Here is a 20131-nt window from a genome sequence, read left to right as displayed (position 1 = left end):
TTCCTAAAGTCCAAACCATATGTCCCATGGCTTGGAAGCCTAGACATAGAGAAAAAGAGGCATTTCTTGGCAAAGGAGAGCCAAATGGATAAAAGGGCCCAACCACCCGGGCCCTTCCCTTTTCTCGCCATCCTCATCCTGTGGTCCATCTGTCTTTGCACTTCTTTCCCCAGCCTCACCCCTGAGCAGGATGTCTCCACCCTCTCTGGGTTGGTCCATCCTGCAGCAATGCAGATGAGCCCTCCCTCTGTAATTACCATGCATGGACCACAGGGGAGAGTTGAAAGGATTAACCTGCTGGCCTCTCGGTAAAGCCAGGCCTGGTGTCGAGTTACATGCCTTGGTTCATGAGGTGGCATGGGGTGCCCTAGACAGTGCAGCATGGGAAGGGTGGGGGGTACAGAGCCTAGAGCCAGAAGACAGCTTCGGCAGAATTGGCAGCCTCTTCAAGCTAAACTTCCTTAGCTGTAAAGTGACAAATCCCGTAAGAGTTTTCAGGATTAAGTGTAGGGACACAGCACATAATAGAACAAGAGCTGCAAGGTAAGTGGAGATGAAACCTCATGTGTACTACTCTTCCCAGAGGTTTCCATTGCCCTGAGAATCCTCTTTCCCATCCCTCCTTAGGCCTCTTTATGATTGTACCAGCAGTTTGAAAGGAACCTCAGGAGTCTTGGGGTGTTTCAGTTTGGTTTGGTTCAGTTCAGTGTAGGGTATCTTCTCAGTCTACCAATGATTTCCTTGACCTCATTTTAAAGATTAAATGAGATATAAACCCTTAAAGCAGCCAGCTCACTCTTTGGCACATAATGCTATTCAATGAGTAGTAACTGGCATTAGAGCCATTGTCCCCCGTAAGCTTGAAGTTGACCATTGTGCCAATCACCACAGGGGCAGCATGGTGGGGTCTGGAGCCACCTCTGTGTCTACCCAGCCATGCATCCTTGAGTGTTACATATTTGTGACTCGGTGTCTCCATTTGTAAATGAGAGGCTGAACTTGGTTGTCCTGGAGATCCTTCACAGTTTAAGAAAGTATGCTCTGACACTTCAGAATGACAGGGTCTCAATTGATGTTGACTTGCCTCCTCGTTGGTCTCTCTGCTCAACCTCCTTTACACTGGTTCTCAACTCAGTTGAGACTTGGAGAGTTTTTTTTAAAAAAAATACAGATGCCTGGGCTTCATTCCCAACCAATTACATCAGAATAGCTGGGGATGGGGGCCCAGCATCATTATTTTTTCAGAGTTGCCCAGGTGATGCCACTGTGTAGCCAGGGTTAAGAACCACTGCATTATGCAAATGATGTAGTCAAAGCAAGGCAAAACAGACAGGATTTGGATAAGCCAGAAGCTGTGTCTGTGAGAAGGCGTGATTTCAGATGTGGCACCTTGACTGTCTCACTCCTAAATGTGCTCTTTTACTTACTGTCCCTGACAACATAGCCTGACACCAGTCGCTATTGCCCTTGAGACCAAATCTAAACTCCTTGACCCGGCTCACATGGCTTTTTACGATCTGGCTTCTGCTGCTTCAGCCTCATTTTTCAGCCAGCCTGACTACACCCCAATAGAGAGTAATCACATGGCAGGGTTTGGCTACAAGCCTTTGTATCTTCCGCACCCTTCTCCCTGCTTACCTAACCTTACCTCCTGCCCCTGTACCTGGCCAACTTCTTCTCCTTCAGGTCTCCAATGAGCTTTCTCTTTCTTCCCTGCCAACCCCAGATTGAGTTAGGTGAGCCAGGTGCACCTCCTGAGCCCACTGTGCACACCCAGTGACACACTTGATCACACTGCACTTGACCCACACTCCCAGCCCCGACGACTTAAATTCCACAAAAGCAAGGACTGTGGCTTATTTACTACTGCATCCCCTGTATCTGGCATAGTGAGCCCCCACTAATACTGGTGGAAAGAGTGAATGAGTAACTGAATGATTACACAAGAAACAAAGAAATTCTTAAGAACCTGAGTCACAGGAAATTAGAGATATCAGGTCCATAAAATGAATGAATACACAAGAAAAAATTCTTAATGAATGATTCACGCTAAGCCAAATGTAGGATCCTAGCCCCATACTCTCTTTGACTTAAGACCATTCTTTAATGCACAGTGTGGACAGCACACGATGCCAGGGAGAGTGGAGAGAACCAGACTCACTTCCCACCAAATGGGCTTGGTTTCCTCAGAGATTAGGTCTTGCATTATTTGCTCTATAAACAAGAGTAATCAACAGAGTGCTAATTTTTTTTTTTTAAGACAAAGTCTCGCTCTGTTGCCCAGGCTGGAGTGCAGTGACATGATCTTGGCTCACTACAACCTCCATCTCCCGGGTTCAGGCAGTTCTCTGCCTCAACCTCCCGAGTTGCTGGGATTACAGGTGCGTGCCACCACGCCCGGCTAATTTTTGTATTTTTAGTAGAGACAGGGTTTCACCATGTTGGTCAGGCTCGTCTTGAACTCCTGACCTTGGGATCTGCCCACCTCAGCCTCCCAAAGTGCTGGGATTACAGGCATGAGCCACCATGCCCAAGCCTCAGAGTGCTAATATTAAAAAGCTAATATTGAGTGGAATTCAGTATCTGTCATTTTTAATGAACTTTTTTTTAGTGAACATATTTTGAGTGAACTTTCCAATCTTATTAGTTAATGAAATATGTACAGTAAAATAATACAGTGTTTGAGATTTACCTCAGAATAACCAGTGGAAAGGAGAATGAGGCATAGAGGTAGAGTTGAAACAAAATTAACCAGGAATTGACAGCTTTTGAAGCTGGTTGATGGTCATATGGGGGTTCATTCTATTATTTTCTCTGCTTTGGCATAAGTTTGAAATTGTTCAAAATAAAATGTTTTAAAAAGTAAAAAAAATAGTTAAAATAGTAATGATCATCCTTAAAAAACAAAAAGAAATTGGTGGAAGAAAGTCGTTCTCAGCATTGCCACTTGATTCAATGAGTGAAAAAAAAAAAAAAAAAAAAATTCCAAAACCAGCCATACATCGTCTGGAGCCAGCTTGGTCTTGGCTAGTTGGAAAACAGGAATGTTCTCCAAGGTTAGTAAACTGTAATGAGTTCCACATAGTTTTCAGGCATCAGAGTTTACAAATCACTGCAGTTTGATTTGTAACTCCATTCACATGTCCACAAGAAATACAGCCTGTGCCGATTTTCCCCATTATTTGCTTAGCCAAACAATACTTTTCCACAGCACAGTCCTGCCAATCTCAAAAACCACCCAGGGACGCCATTTTACGACCCTTGGCACCACGTGCCCCCTCCACTGTGTTTTCACAACTCCAACGTTCCTCCTTTTAAAGTTGGCAGAAATCAGCAGCCCTGCGTTTCTTTTTATTACTCCCAGCGTTTGTTGCTTCCAATGGGGAACGTTTTCTTCTCTGAGAGGCTTTCACCTCCGCCAGGCCTGTGCCTCCGCGGCCCAAGCACCCTTCCCTTCCAGCCCTTTCCTCTTTCTCTCCACACCCCTTGCCTGCTCTGCTTCCACGGAGCCCACGCAGCCTTTTCTGCCCTGGCAGCGCGCGTTTTTCAGCCCCTTCCATCGGGTCTGGCCGAGCTGGCCGCCAGCGTTCCCACGGCCTGGCGGGGGGTCTGCGGTTTCACCAGGCAAGGGGGCCCCCGAGACAGGGCCTGGGCCTTTCTTGCTGCCCTTTGACTGGACCCCCTCATAAGAAAAATTCCCTGGCTAGGTTTCCTCTTGTGCTGGGTGGAATTCAGGCCTTCCTCAGCTTTTCGTCTCCTCTGGTCTTGGTGGAGGCCGCCTGAAGAGTCCACTTCTCCCCACTGTCTCTCCCACCCGGACGCCCAGGCGGCCTCTAGGTTATTCGTGGGGCCAGCTCTGCTAGTGCTCGCTTCAGATCTCCCTCTTGCTCTTCTCTTTGCAGCTTTTTTCTATTTTAACTACATTGGAAGTGAAGATGCCTCATTGCATCCACACCCGAGGTTGTTTTTTGTTCTTGGTTTTTGCATCTTAAAAACCATTTAAATGACACTTCTCTCCTATTTTTAGAAAGGTCTATAAACAATGCACCTCCAGGATTGTTCCTTTTTCTCCTTAAATCCTGTGCCTTAGCACTTGCAGTCTTTTAAGAGCTGCTTTTATAGAAATTTTTGTTGACTGGCTTGGAATACTTTCTATTGCTGTGCATTTTTTGAGTTCACCACGAGCACACTGGATTTCCTCATCAACCCTGAGAAAAAGTTAAAGTTATTTTATAAAACAAAGTGAGACTTAATTTTAAAAAAAATGGAGACAGAGAAGTCGATTCACCTAGATTACAGCTAGTAACTAGCCAAACCCCATTCTCATTCCGCACTCCTCAGTCCTGGTTCCTTTACACATTCACCCCGTATAGGTTTATTAATCACTCATTCTGTGCAAGCGTACATCCAAGTCTAGACCTGAAAATGAGAGTTTATCTAAAAATTAAAAAACAGGATTTTTAAAAGAACAAAATACCTACTTTTCCTCTCTTACTAAAGTGACAAGATCACTGATACTGACTTATTTCGGTATAGGTGCTTGGATTTCATTGTAAAATTCTCACTCCACAAATATATGGCAGAAATAAAACTCTAGACCATAAGCTTTCATTCGATATTGGTAATTCTTTTCATTCCAATCGTTGTAAGGGAGGCCCCTTTAGGACCAGACAGACTGTGCACAAATACCCCAATGCTGCTTAACTAGTTGGGCAAGTTAATCATCTTTTCGAGCCTATTTCTTCATCTTTAAAATGAAGATAATGGATTTGTTACATATATAAAGTACTAAGGATGGTACAAGGCATCTGGAAAGCACTTAATATAGCTCCCTTTTCTTCCCCTGTCAACTGGAAATTTATCATGTTATTAAGAGTGAAGAGTAAAATGTTTTAATAATAGGCAAACAAATCTCATTCTTTTTCATCCTGTATCAAATTGTCCTGGAAACACTACAAGTAAGTGACTAAGCATATTTTAGTTTCAGGCCTACTGTTTGATTGATGTGTCAGTGAGAAATGAATGACTAGGTGGCATGCAGTGAAAGAATCCCAGAAAGGTTGTAATCCACACCCTGGATAATCACAGGCAATTCGTGGAAAGTTGGATAAAATGCTAGCTCAAAAATATTTATTGAATTTTAGAAAATAACCCTACCATAATTACTTGCTTTCCTCTTTGCACTTACTACCTTCAGAGTAACGTAACATGAGTTTTTAAACATGATTTTAAAACATGAACTTTAAAATTATCTTTAAAAGATTTCTATTGAAACAAAAATTCACATGCCTTTCTTCTGGGGGAGAGAGGGAAGTAGCTTTCCTACTTGTTTGTTTGTTGTATTTTAAGAGGGGTGAAATTATTGATTTATCATTACACCTGCCCCACTTCAACCTATGATTAGAAAATGTATAATTTCAAAATCATCTTCAGAGCAACAAAATGATATTGTTCCAAATCAGAGAGAGATTTCTCTTCTCTGATATGGAATGCTTGCATGTCATTAGCCAGCCCTCTATGTTTTCACAGTATAGATATGACCACCTTGTATTAACTGAGTATATACTAATGTGTATAGGTTCAGCCTTTATTAGTGGGATAAATGATGATAGATGCAAAACACTTCAACTGTAGCACACCATACAAATGTTCATTCCAAAATTGGGAAAAGCATAATGTGGATCATTGTTTTTAAGCATAGCTACTCATGTTCTGGAACAGGTCATATTTTGGGGGTGGCCAAATTTTTTTTGTAATGGTGCCTGGCTGTTAAAAATGCTTTTTGCGCTGAGACCTAAGAAACTGTAGTGTATATTGTTAGTGGAAAACATATTCTTCTAGATGAGTGACATTTTAAATTATTCTTTTTTATATAATTAAATGTAGATGTCAACATATAGGCTTTGCCTTATTTTTAGAAAGTTTGGGATTCGTGGTTGGGGAAAACTCAGAAAACGATTTCTTAAAAACAAAATTGCTTTTTTAGTAGAACCTGTTTCAAAGATGCTTTGGAGCAATAACATTTTTTAAGTATCAGGGATGCTTGTTTTAAGTAACACGGGGAAAGATGTGATCTTCCATTACAGTGACAGCACTTAGCCGTAATCACCATGTCAGGAACATTTTCTTTGCAGGTGAAAGACAGTGAATAAAAGAATTCATTTGACAAAGCCTAGGACTATTTTGAATGGTCTCGTCCTGAGATATTTATCAAGCGGGGACCAACACTTTGCAGACAATCGTAATTTTTCCCTACTGCCATCTTCAAAAGTGCTACCTTTGACAGTGATAAAAGACACCTCTTAGTCCTAGTGCCCGAACAATTGATCTAATTGTCTTCACTGTTCCCTCTTTTCTATCACAGAATCGGAAGACTTTTTGATGGTACAGAGCCCATTGTTTTGGACAGTCTCAAACAGCACTATTTCATTGACAGAGATGGACAGATGTTCAGATATATCTTGAATTTTCTACGAACATCCAAACTCCTCATTCCTGATGATTTCAAGGTGAGGGATCCATGTTAAATCACCAATAGCATAAATATGTGATTTTTTTATGTGCTCCAAAAAAATATTTCTAGTTCTACATTATTAACATACACCAACTCGAAAGGTGCCAGAGTTCTCTTTGACATGGTTCACTATTCATGAAATAGTGGTTATGGCCATTAAACTTCTACATGACTTAAAGAGGATCGCTTTTCATTTAAAGAATTGAATTATAATTCACTTGAACAAATTGAAAAGGAGTTGATTAAATTCAAAGCTCATTTCTGATATGTCTTAGAGAGCTAGAGAATAAAAGGAAACCTCCTTAGCTTAATGAAGACTTCCCCGTCCCCGCCCCTAGAAATCGAAAGCAAACATGAACAGTAAAATTTTAGAATTCTTCCCTTTACAGTTAGTAATAAGTGTTAAGGTTAGTCACGCTGAGATAGCCCACATTGTGCTGGTAACTCTAGGCAATGGAGTCAGACAAGGAGAACAAATAGAAAGTGTTAATATTAGAAGGGAATTCACGAAAATGTAATTTTTGCAGCTGACAATGTTTCTTCAAATGGATGATTCTAAAAAGTCAACTTAATGCTATTAGAACTTATAAAGAACTCATTAAAGCAGCTCAATTCAGGATCAATATATAGCTTTTTTTGTTTGTTTGTTTGTTTTTTGAGACGGAGTTTTGCTCTTGTCTCCCAGGCTGGAGTGCAGTGGCGTGATCTTGGCTCACCGCAACCTCTGCCTCCTGGGTTCAAGCAATTGTCCTGCCTCAGCCTCCCGAGTAGCTGGGATTACAGCTGCCCACCACCACGCCTAGCTAATTTTTCATATTTTTAGTAGAGACGGGGTGTCACCATGTTGGGCAGGCTGGTCTCAAACTCCTGACCTCAGGTGATCCACCTGCCTCAGCCTCCCAAAGTGCTGGGATTACAGGCATGAGCCACTGTGCCCAGCCAGTCAATAGCCTTTTTAGAGAATAGCAAGAGCCAATCATAAGCTATAATAGAAAAATATACAACAAAAATTATAACACCTAGGAATAAACCTAACGAGAAACAAGCAAAGGCTGATTAAGAAAACTGCAGATCTCTACACACAAGTGTAAAAGAGTTGAATAAATGAAGGAACATTCTAGGTTCCTGGATGGGAAACCTCAATATTGTTAAGATGTCAGTTATCCTCAAATTATTCTATATAGTCAGTGCAAACCCACTTAAGTAATAGATTTTTCAAAATGAAATTTGAACCATTTATAAAGTTTGTGTAGAAGAAAAAAAGCGTTAAGGATAGCTAAAAAAAAGTATTTCTGGTCATAGTAATGATGGTAAAGGTGGGTAATGGTGGATGTGTCCTATCAACGTCAAAACAGACTTTCGAGCTATATTAATTTAAAGGTGTCATTCTGACAGCACTGAAATATACAAATCAATGGAGAAGAATAGGGTCCAGAGATAGATGTACAGGTGCATAGGAATTTGATGTACCATAAAGGTGGCATTTCACATCAGTGGGAAAAGAAAGCAATAGTCAGTAATAGGTGCTGAGACGATCACCACTGAGACATTTGAGGGAATTGTAAAGCCAGAGCCCTATCCTACATCATAAATTCACAAAAATTTCAGAAATAAATACAAAAACGAGGGCAATAAAAGTATTATGAAAAAATACAAAGAAATTTCTAAAAGTATAATTTTGAGGCAGAAGGGGCCTGTCTAAATGAGACTTCATACCCAGAAGCTATCCTTTAAAAAAAATAGTTGAATTGAAGACATCATATACAAATACAAGACAAGTGTCAGACCATAAGAAACATTTGCAACAAAAGATGAATACCCATCATAAAAGATCTATCTTAAAAATCTATGAGAAACATACAAACAACCCAGTGGAAAAATTTTTTTAGCTATGAACAAAATTTTCCCAAAGAAAAAAACAGAAATTGGCAATAAACATTTGCAAAGACATTCAGTTTCTTTTGTATCAAATAAAAATAAAATTAGATACTCCCTTTTATCCATTAGATTGGCAAAAATTAAAAAGATGTGTAATATACAGTGTTAGGGAACATACGGTGTGGTTGGAAGTCAAAATCATTAAACATTTTTGGAGGACAATTCAGCAGTAAATGTTAAAGTTTCAAATATACATACTCTTTGATCTGCTAGAAATATTCAGGTAAATCTGTAAAGATATTTATATATAGGATGTTTATTATAGTCATGTTTATAATAGCAAAAACTGGACTTTCTAAAAAAGAAAGTTCATTGGCAGATGGTTACAAATATTATAGACTATCCATGCTATAGACTAGTTTAAAAGATGTGGTAGATCTGTATCTGTTGATATGTGGGGGGAAAATCATGTAATTCCATGATTCAGTGAAAATATTAAGTTGCAGAACCATATGTATAGTATGTTTCTATTTATGTAAAAGATCAGGTATGTATGCATATATAAATGCATAGAAAAAGATCCAGAAGAGTAGATCCCAAGTTAATAAGAAGCTCAGGGGCCCCTTAGTTATCTTCTCCTTCAGGATTTTGAACAGTGGGGCACATGCCAAGGATTATTAGCCAAATGGAAAAGAGAGCACAGAGGAGTTGCATCATGTGCACATTTATTTTACATGGCAACTATATGCAATTGGCAAGAAAATAGAGAGAGTGTAATAACTGCAGCCAGTGAATGAGCTTCCCGCAGCCCTGGAATGAGCCTGAGGAAGGCACAGGAGCCCGCTGCTCCCAGCCAAGGGCAGTTCCCAAGGCCCCCTCAATGGCGTGCATCTCACCGCACTGAGCTTGATTCCAGGGTTTGAAGACATGGGGGTTTGGTTTGTGCAACATGGCTCCTAAGCAAAAGCCGCTTCATCAGTAGTGATCTCTTCCAGCTCAGGAAAGGAAGCATATTGAGGAGTGATTTCTTTTTTACTATTATTATTATTATTATTATTATTATTATTAATTTTAAGTTCTGGGGTGCATGTGCAGGATGTGCAGGTTTGTTACATAGGTAAACGTGCTATGGTGGTTTGCTGCACCTATCAACCTATCACCTAGGTATTAAGCCTTGCATGCATTAGTTATTTATCCTAATGCTCTCCCTCCCCCTATCCCTGCTACAGGCCCCAGTGTGTGTTGTTCCCCTCCCTTTGTCCATGTATTCTCATTGTTCAGCTCCCACTTATAAGTGAGAACATGCAGTGTTTGGTTTTCTGTTCCTGTGTTATTTGCTGAGGATAATGGCTTCCAGCTTCATCCATATCCCTGCAAGGACATGATCTCATTCCTTTTTATGGCTGCATGGTATTCCAAGGAGCGATTTCCAATATGCCTCTTCCTAGAGGCTTTTCCAAGATAATTTTCAATATAGTATATACAGTTTTTTCTTGGCATGATAACTTTTGAACCTCTTTCCTGCCTTATTCTCCATGCTACTTTATTAATTTGGGCAAAAATTTTATCCAGGGCTCTCAGATAATAGCTGAATTAGACAACACTCTGCAGGCCCAAGGCCAAAGTGCAGTCTCTGCCTCCAGCCCTCAGTCTGCACCTGGGGTCACACACTCTCAGACATGATCAAGGGGACTGATTGGGTTTAGACAGCAGCCCCATGTCTTCGAGGCCACAGCTGATGAATGGCATAGTTGAAGAGAGCAGGCCAGCTTCCCACAGCAGCTGCAGGTGAAACAGAGAGACCTAGGGAGAGAACCAGGACTGTTCTAGAAAGCAGGTGCTTGCCACATGTGGAGACAGGAAGAGGAATCAGGAAGCTGGGTCCCTGCCCAGGGCACAGATTCCAGCAGTGACTGGCCACTAGTCCAACCTGAGCCACCAACGTCGGGCGCTCCCCAGTCAGCTCTGGACCCTTTCCCACTTTAGGGAGTAAGTAAGCTCATGTAGAGAGAAGGGCCAAAGCATGATGTGGAGAGGTGGGGGAACAATTTCTTACTCTCTCATATTTTCCTAGAGGAAAGGCAGTAGAATTGGAAATGGGTGAGGGAGGATATTTCACTTTTAGTTCCGTATGCTTTAGTATGAATTTTATCATTAGTTTTTACAATGAGCAGGCATTCACATATGACTTAAGTCATTAAAATAAAACAATAAAATAATTTTTAAATAAAGTTGTCAAAAAAGAAGTCAAGTTATCACAGCTACAGACATGTATACTAGTAAGGAAAAACTGCCATAGGATTTCATTATATTTTTCGCTAAGTTATATATAGCCTGGACTTCATCAGGAGAAGGTTTGGTTAGTACAATATGAAAATCACCTCATGTTTAGGTGATTGCATTTCCAAATGCCGACCCAGAATCCCTGCCTGGATAGTTCATTCGCTCTTTAAACTTTAGATGCCCAAAAATGAGCTCACTCTGTCTGCCTCCCCCTCTGCCACCACCACCACCAAGAACAAAATCTGCTCCTCTTCCTTTGTATCCTATCTCAGTAAAAGATGCCAGAATCCACCTACTTGCTCAAGGCAGGAACCTGCAGTCCTTCTGGACTTTTTCCTCTTCTTCGCCTCCCACGTGTGATCTGTCAGCGCATCCGTCATCTTAACCTCCTGGACGCATCGCGAATCAATCCACTACCCTCATCCCACCTCCCTAGCCCAAGGCCCAGCAGCTCTCTGGACTCCTTGGAGTGGCTTCACAATTGGTCTACCCCCTCCCACTCTTACCCCTTTTTGACTTGTTCTCTGCATTGAAACTATGAGACACTTTTAAAAAATTCAACTTTTAATTTTGACATCATTATAGATTTGCATACAGTTGTAAGACATAATAGAGATGCTGTGTTACCCAGTTCCCCCCAGTAATAACATCTTGCAAAATACTGGGATCACAACCAGGATATTGACACTGATACAGTCAAGGTTCTGAACAGTTCCATCACCACAAGGATCCCTCCTGTAGTCATTTGACAGTTATGCCCACCCCTCTCTCTCCCTGCCACCATCCTACCCCATCCCTGACCATGTGACACTTTTTAAAAACTGTATCATGAGTTGCTCCTGCTTGAAATTCTGCAGGGACTTTCTCTTGTTCCTGAAACTGTCAAATGAAGAAGATAAACCAAGCTTTTCAAGAATTAAAGTTAGTTTTACTCGGAAGTCTTACTGAGGTCCCACACAGGATTTCAGCCCACAGCTTGTTATATAGGCGGTGGAGGTTCAGTACATGGAAAATCACATCACACTTGCTCAGACGCTACAAGCAGAATACATCGAGCTTTGGGTGTAAGAGTACAGCGTGTTATAGATTACAGAAGCGTCATCACCAACCTGTCAGACTTTATCTCATACGGAAGAAAAGGCAAAGACTAGGGTCATGTATCTCTTAAGGAATGTAGTGACTCAGGCAGGAGACCTGGGGGGGCTGTATACTCGGCTTTGTTGTGTCTTCAAGGCATTTTCCTGGAGACCTGCACGTCCTCCCAGAGTCAGAGGGTCAAGCAGAAATGAGCAGCCATGGCTTCTTCCATTCATTCTTCTGTCTCACAGAGCAAAGCACCACATCCCTGTCAGAGCCCACAAGGCCCAGAAAGCTCTGGCCCCTGCCCACCTCACCCACTCTTGCCCTCCACATGTCCCTACAGGACTTCTCTTGGTCCCTCAGACACACCCTCCTCTTGCCCCCTGACAACTGCCCCTCTGTGTGCCTATGCAGCCATTCCCCTGGCCTTTACTGGAATTCAGGAGTCATCTTTTTCACCACATCCCCCAGCAAACCTACCTGGGCCTGGTGTAGCTTAGGCTCACCTGTACCCCTGACTCTCCGTGGTCACACGCAGTGCATCTATCACTCACTGTGCAGCACCATCTGCGCAGCTGTGAGGTAGGGACGCTTCCAGCTACGAGAGTGGGAACAGCCAATTAACAGCGGCTTACACTATAGGAGATTTGTTTTTCTCACGTGAGAAGTCAGAGGCCTGTGGCAGAGGTATCTGCCCAGCAATGTTATCGAGGACCAGGAAGCTTTCTGTCTTTCTGTTTTGCCATCCTCAGTGTTGACGTTCTGGCCTCATGCCTGTCACCTCAAGATTATATGGTGACTGCATCACGGCACCAGGCATCACCATTCCAGGCGTCACATCCTCAGTCAAGGCAGGATAAAGGGACAGACAGCTTTTCAACTCACAAGACTCTGTCCTTGTCAGACGATCCCACAGAAGGCTTTCCCTTTGTGGCTCATTGGCCAGAACGGAGCCTCTCCTTGGTGGCTGAGAAAGGGATTTTTTTTTCTTCGCTTATTTTTAGCCTCTGTAGTAAGAGAAATAGGCAAGGGAAAGAGGTTGAAATAGCTGTTGGGGAAGCTAGCCAGCAGCATCTGTCCCACATGCTCAGCACCTGCCACATATTAAGCATGTAAATATTTGTGGCGTGAGTGAATGAACGCATGGATGGGTAAATAGATGAATGGAGTGAGGCTAACATGCAAACTAGGCTCTTGTTCCCACCAGTTCATCTGAAACCTGCTGATCTACTTTCTGATGTTTGGACTCTGGATATTTTGTGTATATATCTTCACTTCCTTGCTGCATTATAAGGTTCTTGCAGGCAGGGCCTTTTTGTTTGTTTGTTGTTTGTTTGTTTGTTTTTTTGAGATGGGCAGTGGCACGATCTTGGCTTACTGCAACCTCTGCCTCACAGGTTCAAGCGATTCTCCAGGCAGGGACATTTTTATGTTTTTCCAGAGGACATTGTGTGTTGGGCACATAATCAATGCTTAGTATTAATTCACTGAAATACAGCAGAAAAGGGTTAAAAGAGATGCAGGAAGCCACAATCTAAATATGAATAGGCAATGCACTTCCTTTCAAAATTATATAGGACTAAGTAGAAAATACAAAACGTGTATATAATATCATCATTGTATGCTGCTTATCAGAATAATATTAATTTATAATTCCCATTATTGAAAAGGATGCAGGCTGCAGGGAATCACAAAAGAATATATTGGGAATTACAGTTAGAAATGATAGTAGCCATTCATTTTTAGTTGCAGTATGTTCCAGAAACTGAGCCAGGTATTTTAGGCACGCACTTTGGTTTAACTAAACCTCAGCACATAAACCTACATAGCAGGCATTATTTTTCCTCCAAGAGCATTCAGGTTAGGTGCTGGGGAGGGAAAAACTTCCACACGGAGTTCAACTGTGGCCAGTTTGCTTAAGGACTCACCCACCCACCTGCCTAGGATTAGCACAGCTGCTTCTCTGCACCTTTTGCGTGCTCCCTGAGGATTCCAGAGCTCTTAAAGACCTGCTATTTATCAATTCTAAGTACCAAACACACCCTTTAATTGGCTAAGGATTTAGCTGTAACCCACGCTTGAGGGAAAAAAAAAAAAACAAAAGCATGTCAAATGAAACTCACATATCCCAGGGCCTTAAAACATTTCCCACAGAACCTCTGGTGACAGGCTGTAAATTACAGTACAGGGTGTTCTGGGACCTGGGAGGGGCAGCAGAAGCTGAAGGGGTCCTTCCGCTCTGGTGGCTGGTGATGGAATTGCATCAGCAGGAGCAGTGCAGTTTACAGGAGTCACAAATACAGGTACACATAGGAGCTTTCAGTCTGCACGTCCTGAACAGTACTATTGGTGCTTTCTTCCTCGTCAGAGTTTTCTCTTGAACCTGGGAGGGACATGGCTTTTGGGGTTTTTTGGTTTCTTTGAGACAAAGTCTTGCTCTGTCGCCCAGGCTGGAGTGCAGCGGCACGATCTCGGCTCACTGCAACCTCCGCCTCCCGGGTTCAAGCAGTTCTCTTTCCTCAGCCTCCCAAGTAGCTGGACTACAGGCACACGCCACCACACGCCACCACGCCACAGGCACACTAATTTTTATATTTTTAGTACAGATGGGGTTTCACCATGTTGGCCAGGCTGGTCTCAAACTCCTGACCTCAAATGATCCGCCCACCTCAGCATCCCAAAGTGTTGGGATTATAGGTGTGAGCCACCGCGCCCGGCCAGGACATGGTTTTTTGCATGAGGAGAGAATCTCTTTCACTAAGTTTGTTAGGGAGAATGTTTATTGATTACCTGCTTCTTTCCCTAGCCATTTAATACTGGGTGAACAAGTGCATTCAATCCTGAAGTCACAAGATCCTCCACCCCTAAAATCTCATTCCGCAAATGTGCTGTCCGAGCCGGATACCCATTTCATCTTTGAGATAATTTCATATTTCAGAACACCATTTAAGTGGCAGTTGCTCCTGTCCTGGCTTCCATGGAAAGCTGTTGAGATCTGTTCTCTGCATAAGTGATTGCAGAACTTTTCTGCAGTGTTTTATTATGGATATGACTGTCCCTCTTCCCTTAATTTTCCCCTCCCTCCAATTTTACTGATTTGCTCATTGTTGTTTTATGCCCTGCACATGAGCGTGTACGCATGCATAGGCACACACACACACGTGGTTGCAACTCTCAGCACACCAAGAGTCTAGAGCTTCGGCCCCATTTTTTATGGAGAACCACACAATTCTCTCTTTCTCTCTCTCTCTCTCTCTGTAGCCTTTTATCTTTAACATCATCTTTGGTAAGTGGCCCCCATGTTGCTCACATCTTTCATGGTCTGTCTGTATGTCCACCATTCCTAGACATAGACAAACTTGCTGGCAGGCAGCTCCCAACTTACCTAGCCCTGGATATGTTCAAAAGTCTATTGGGTATTTTTTTAATTAATTTAAAAAAAATTGGTTTTTTTGAGATAGGGTCTCGCTCTGTCACCCAGGCTGGAGTGCAATGGTGCAATCTCGGCTCACTGCAACCTTCGCCTCCTGGGTTCAAGTGATTCTCCTGTCTCAGCCTCCCAAGTAGCTGGGATTACAGGCACCCCCCACCATGCCCAGCTAACTTTTGTATTTTTAGTAGAGATGGGTTTTCACCATATTGGTAGGCTGATCTTGAACTTCTGACCTCAGGTGATCCACCCACCTCGGCCTCCCAAAGTGCTGGGATAACAGGCATGAGCCATTGTGCCCGGCCTTAAAAAATTTTTTTTGAGACAGGGTCTTGCGCTGTCACCCAGGCTGGAATGCAGTGGTGCAATCATAGCTCACTGCAGTCTCAACCTCCCAGGTTCAAGCAGTCCTCCCCGCTCAGCGCCCCCGAAGTAGCTGGGGCTGCAGGCATGCACCACCACACTCAGCTAGTTTTTCATTTTTTGTAGAGACGGTCTCACTGAGCCGCCACAGGTTGATCTCAAACTCCTAGGCTCAAGCAATCCTCCTGCCTTGGCCTCTCAAAGTGCTGGGATTACAGGTGTGAGCCACCACCACAACCAACCTCTATTGTTTATTTTTAATAACATTTTAATATTATAGAAGAAGTACATGTACATTGTAGAGAATTTAAAAATATAGACAAACCAAAAAAAAAAAAACAAACTATACCGTATGTTCCCACCACTCAGACTGCCAATGTTAAAACATTAGTGAGTAGCCTTCTGGATCTTTTCCTGTGCTTATTTTGGACAATAACCTTTACCTTTCCATTTAAAAAAAATTATTTCCTCTAATTCCACAACTATATTTGAGTTTCCCTGCTTGACTCCACAATGCCCTTTACAACTTGCTGGAGACTGGGCTAGCTGTCCTGCAAAATGTCCTGCCATCTCGATTTGTGTGGTTGCCTTGTCATGTGTAGTTTAGCTCATGAATCTATCCCTTAATTTCCTGTAAACTGGAAGTCATCTCTAAAGACATGATGGGTTTACGTTAGACTTGTTGGGGAGAATACATCACAGTGATGCTGTTTGCTTCATACTACCTCACAGTAGCAAAGGCATGTGGTTGAGCCACCATTAATGATGCTAGGAATGAACTGATCATTGTATCAAGGTGAGTTGCATGCTCCTTAGGCTGCAATAAAAACGATCTCTGTCAAGCTCAAAGTAACATTTGGGGCCAAACAATTCTTTGTGGTGGGGGCTGTCCTGTGCAATATAGGGTTTTCAGCAGCATCCCTCCCTACCCATCAAATTCCAGTAGCACCCCCTTCCCGGTTGCAACAACCAAGAGTGTCTCCAGACATTGCTAAATGCCCTCTAGTGTCAAAATTACTCCTGCTCGAGAACCAGTTGTCCAGCTTAAGGAAAAGTTAAAGGGAGTATTGACAGGAAGCGCTTACTAGTTTATCTCATAGAATTAGTGGAAGCTTTCTCTCAGGGATGGAAACAACAGGACCGCCCTGAAGACTTAAATTGCAGGAGGTGCCATTAACATGTGCCAGTCTCAGCAAGCCCAGGGCCTCGTTCCCCTCCCTTGGTCCTACAGAGACACCATCTGATTGGCTCAGCTTGGCTCCATGCCTGTACTTTAGCCAATCAGCTGTGGCAACACACACATTGCTTCTAGGTCCTCATTCCTGCGGGTAGAACTTTCTCAGAGAAAGCAGAGTGGCGACCTGGATAGGCCCCCACTCGCCAGAGTTTCTTCACCCGTACCTGCGGGTAGGTCTTTCTCGGAGAAGGCAGAGTGGCGACCTGGATAGGCCCCCACTCGCCAGAGTTTCTTCACTGGTACCTGCGGGAGTGCCTACTCAGGACATGCCCCAGACCACGGCCTCAGCTGCCGCCACCGAGGCTGTATCCGTGGTCTGGTGACTAGCGCTGTCTGGTACTGCCCATGACCTCTTTTCTCCTCCCAAGGATATTTTCCCAGAGGCAGGACTGGGAGGATGGAAGAGCAGCCAGCCCCACCCCGGCACCATCTCCGATGGTGTCTCTGGCCCCCTCCCTCAGCACGCCCTAGACATCAGGCCTAGCTCCTGTGGTGTGGCGTCCTCGTGACTTTCCAAGCCAGGGTGTTGTTTCAGAATGCTGGTGGGCCTGCCTTCCGTCCCGCCGTCAGCACCCTGACACGGTCACCTGTGTGTGCTTCTGTCTGTAAGATGGGAGTGGAGACAGTGGCAGGGCGTAGACGGGACACTGCTGCTGCTTCCATTTCTTTCAGTAGCCATCAAGACTAATCCTAGTCTGGGTATCCTTGACCCAGGAAAACAAGAGTAGTCGGGAGAAGCTGGGAGTCAGTGCCCCTGGATGAGGAGGGGACTGCCTGGTGAGAACTGTCAAGTAGTGGCAGGAGAAAAGGGGCACGTGGGCCAGTCCCTCCAGGCTTTGAAGAAAAGAAAGAATGGGCCGGGCACGGTGGCTGACACCTGTAATCCCAGCACTATGGGAGGCTGAGGTGAGCAGATCACCTGAGGTCGGGAGTTCAAGACCAGCCTGGCCAACATGGCGAAACCCCATCTCCACTAAAAATACAAAAATTAGCCGGGCATGGTGGCGGGCACCTGTAGTCCCAGCTACTCTGGAGGCTGAGGCAGGAGAATCTCTTGAACCTGGGAGGCAGAGGTTGCAGTGAGCTAAGATCATGCCATTGCACTCCAGCCTGGACAAGGAGAGAGAAACTCCATTAAAAAAGAAATTATTCCAGCCCAAAGGAGTATTACAAGGCCAGGGCAATTAAGAGCTTTAGTACCCTAAACACTGAAAAAACTGCAGTGGCCACTCCCCCAACCTCCATCCCCGACAAGATAAACAAAATCTTTAAAACCAAAGGAAAGTAAGTGCTACAGAGATCTGTCTTTTGTTATGATGACCACTACTTGGTTGCTGTTTTGGAAATGGAAAAGGTAAAATCCTTTCATTTTCTTGGCACCCCTGCTTTGCTGGTGGTACCCCTGATACATAGGTGCCCTGCCTGCTAGGGAACCACCCACTGCCGAGGGTCCCAAGAGCAGGATCCCACTGCCCCCTAAGCCTGGGGGTGAGGAGAGCTAGAGCTCCTGGGAGGTATTGGAGACATTCCTCAGAGAAAAATCCTTTTTGTGCTCACGGTGCCTTCCACGGCATCTGGCACCTACACAGTTTTTAAAATGAAATGGGTGAACAGTTGAGTTGCCTTTTGAGTGTTAAGGATCTGTCAGCTTCTGGGTAAAGCCTCAGGTACATTCAGAAAATAAGCCTTTCAACTGTTTTGCAGAACCGTTGACTGTGAGGGGGAAGCTTGCCCCAGTCCTCAGAACCTGTGAATACAATGCTTTGCATGGCAAAGGGGACTTTGCAGATGTGATTAAGTTAAGGGTCTTGAGATGGGAGGATTAGCCTGGATAATCCAGGTGGGCCCTGTATAATCACAGCGGTCCTTATTTGAGGGAGGCAGGAGGGCCGGGGTTAGAGAAGATGGGATGAGAGAAGTGATGTGCTTGCTGGCCATGGGCCAAGGAATTCTCGCAGCCTCTGGACGCTGGAAAAGATGAGGAAGTGGATTTGTCCCCAGAGCCTCCAGAAGGAAGGCATCCCTGCCGGCACCATGACTTCAGCCCAGTGAGATCCATTTCCGACTTCTGACCTGAAGAACTGTAAGGGAATAAATTTGTGTTGTCTTAAGCCACCAAATTTGTGGTAATTTCTCACAGCAGCAGTAGGAACCTAATACACTGAATATATCGTTTTCCTCCCTCTAGGGAGGATATTTTCTGAATTCCAATTATGTAATCAAGAAAGAAGTTTCAAAACCTGGCCTGTTTGCATTTTGGAGTCCACCACCCATGTCTGTTTTCTTGTCCCCTGTACCTGTCCTCAGGATCTTAGGGAAGCTCATATGTAAAATGAGATCTTGATCTTCCTGCCTCAAAAAAATCATTGTAAATCTTAAATTATTTAAAAAATATGTATTCAGGCCGGGCGTGGTGGCTCACGCCTGTAATCCCGGCATTTCAGGAGGCTGAGGCAGGTGGATCACATGAGGTCAGAAGTTCGAGACCAGCCTGGCCAACATGGCGAAACCCCGTCTCTACTAAAAATACAAAAATTAGCCGGGCGTAGTGGTGGGCACCTGTAATCCCACCTACTCAGAAGGCTGAGGATGGAGAATCGCTTGAACCCAGGAGGCAGAGGTTGCAGTGAGCTGAGATCACAACACTGTACTCCAGCCTGGATGACAAGAGCGAAACTCCATCTCAAAAAAAAAAAACCGTATTCTAAGATTTTGAAATGATTTAAACATGATAATAGGTCTGTGAGTAACTGATTTCCCTTTAAATGTATATGGGGCTAAGCAAGAAATATGGATGGTGCCTTTTTTTTTCTCTTTTTTTTTGAGATGGGTCTTTCTCGGTCTCCTAGGCTGGAGTGCAGTGATGCAAACATAGCTCACTGCAGCCTCAACTTAGCTGGGACCACAGGCCCGGGCCACCACATCCAGCTAATATTTTTACTTTTTATAGAAACAGGGTCTCCCTACGTTGCCCAGGCTGGTCTTGAACTCCTGGCCTCAAGTAATCCTCCTGCCTCCACCTTCCAAAGTGCTGGAATTACAGGTGTGAGCCACTGTGCCTGGCCAGATGGTGCTTCTTAATCAGAGAAGATAAAATGGACATAGGACAGGGCAGAAGAGTGATAGCATCTAGCACACTCTTGAGTGGCTTTGCTGAAAGCTTATTTCTCAGAAGGGAGGAAAAGTGGATGTTGTGAATTCATTTCCTTCAGAAAAACAGGTGCTGAACCTGCTGCTGCCCCATAAACCCCTGCCTATTTCCACCAAGTACCTTGGAAACAAGAGACCCATCATCTCGAGTTTGTAAAAGCCCCAGAAAGGACATTGCCAGATTAGAACAAAGGCT

General features: G+C 43.9%; 1 protein-coding gene across 6 annotated transcripts in view, besides 3 other annotated features; it reads left to right on the top strand.

The window, feature by feature from the left end:
• Nucleotides 1–20131, top strand: part of KCTD1 (potassium channel tetramerization domain containing 1) — a 202564-nt gene that overhangs the window by 174450 nt on the left and 7983 nt on the right. For all 6 annotated transcript variants that reach the window (NM_001258222.3, NM_198991.4, NM_001258221.2 and 3 more), the window contains 1 exon segment: nucleotides 6365–6509. In NM_001258222.3, the coding sequence (NP_001245151.1) occupies nucleotides 6365–6509 (145 nt within the window).
• Nucleotides 1318–2517: an enhancer, noted in NCBI's record as "P300/CBP strongly-dependent group 1 enhancer chr18:24060471-24061670 (GRCh37/hg19 assembly coordinates)". NCBI's record gives its function as "activates an origin of replication core promoter dependent on BRD2, BRD4, P300/CBP, MED14 and CDK7 cofactors, with strong dependence on P300/CBP, by STARR-seq in HCT116 cells {active_cell/tissue: HCT116}" and the evidence as "EXISTENCE:reporter gene assay evidence [ECO:0000049][PMID:35650434]".
• Nucleotides 12422–12641: an enhancer, noted in NCBI's record as "active region_13188". NCBI's record gives its function as "activates an Ori minimal core promoter by ATAC-STARR-seq in GM12878 lymphoblastoid cells {active_cell/tissue: GM12878}" and the evidence as "EXISTENCE:reporter gene assay evidence [ECO:0000049][PMID:35858748]".
• Nucleotides 13883–13942: an enhancer, noted in NCBI's record as "active region_13187". NCBI's record gives its function as "activates an Ori minimal core promoter by ATAC-STARR-seq in GM12878 lymphoblastoid cells {active_cell/tissue: GM12878}" and the evidence as "EXISTENCE:reporter gene assay evidence [ECO:0000049][PMID:35858748]".

This window comes from Homo sapiens, chromosome 18 (assembly GCF_000001405.40).
Source record: "Homo sapiens chromosome 18, GRCh38.p14 Primary Assembly".
Lineage (NCBI taxonomy): Eukaryota > Metazoa > Chordata > Mammalia > Primates > Hominidae > Homo > Homo sapiens.
The sequence above is the reverse complement of the archived record's forward strand: the minus strand, read 5'-3'. Positions and strand labels throughout refer to the sequence as shown.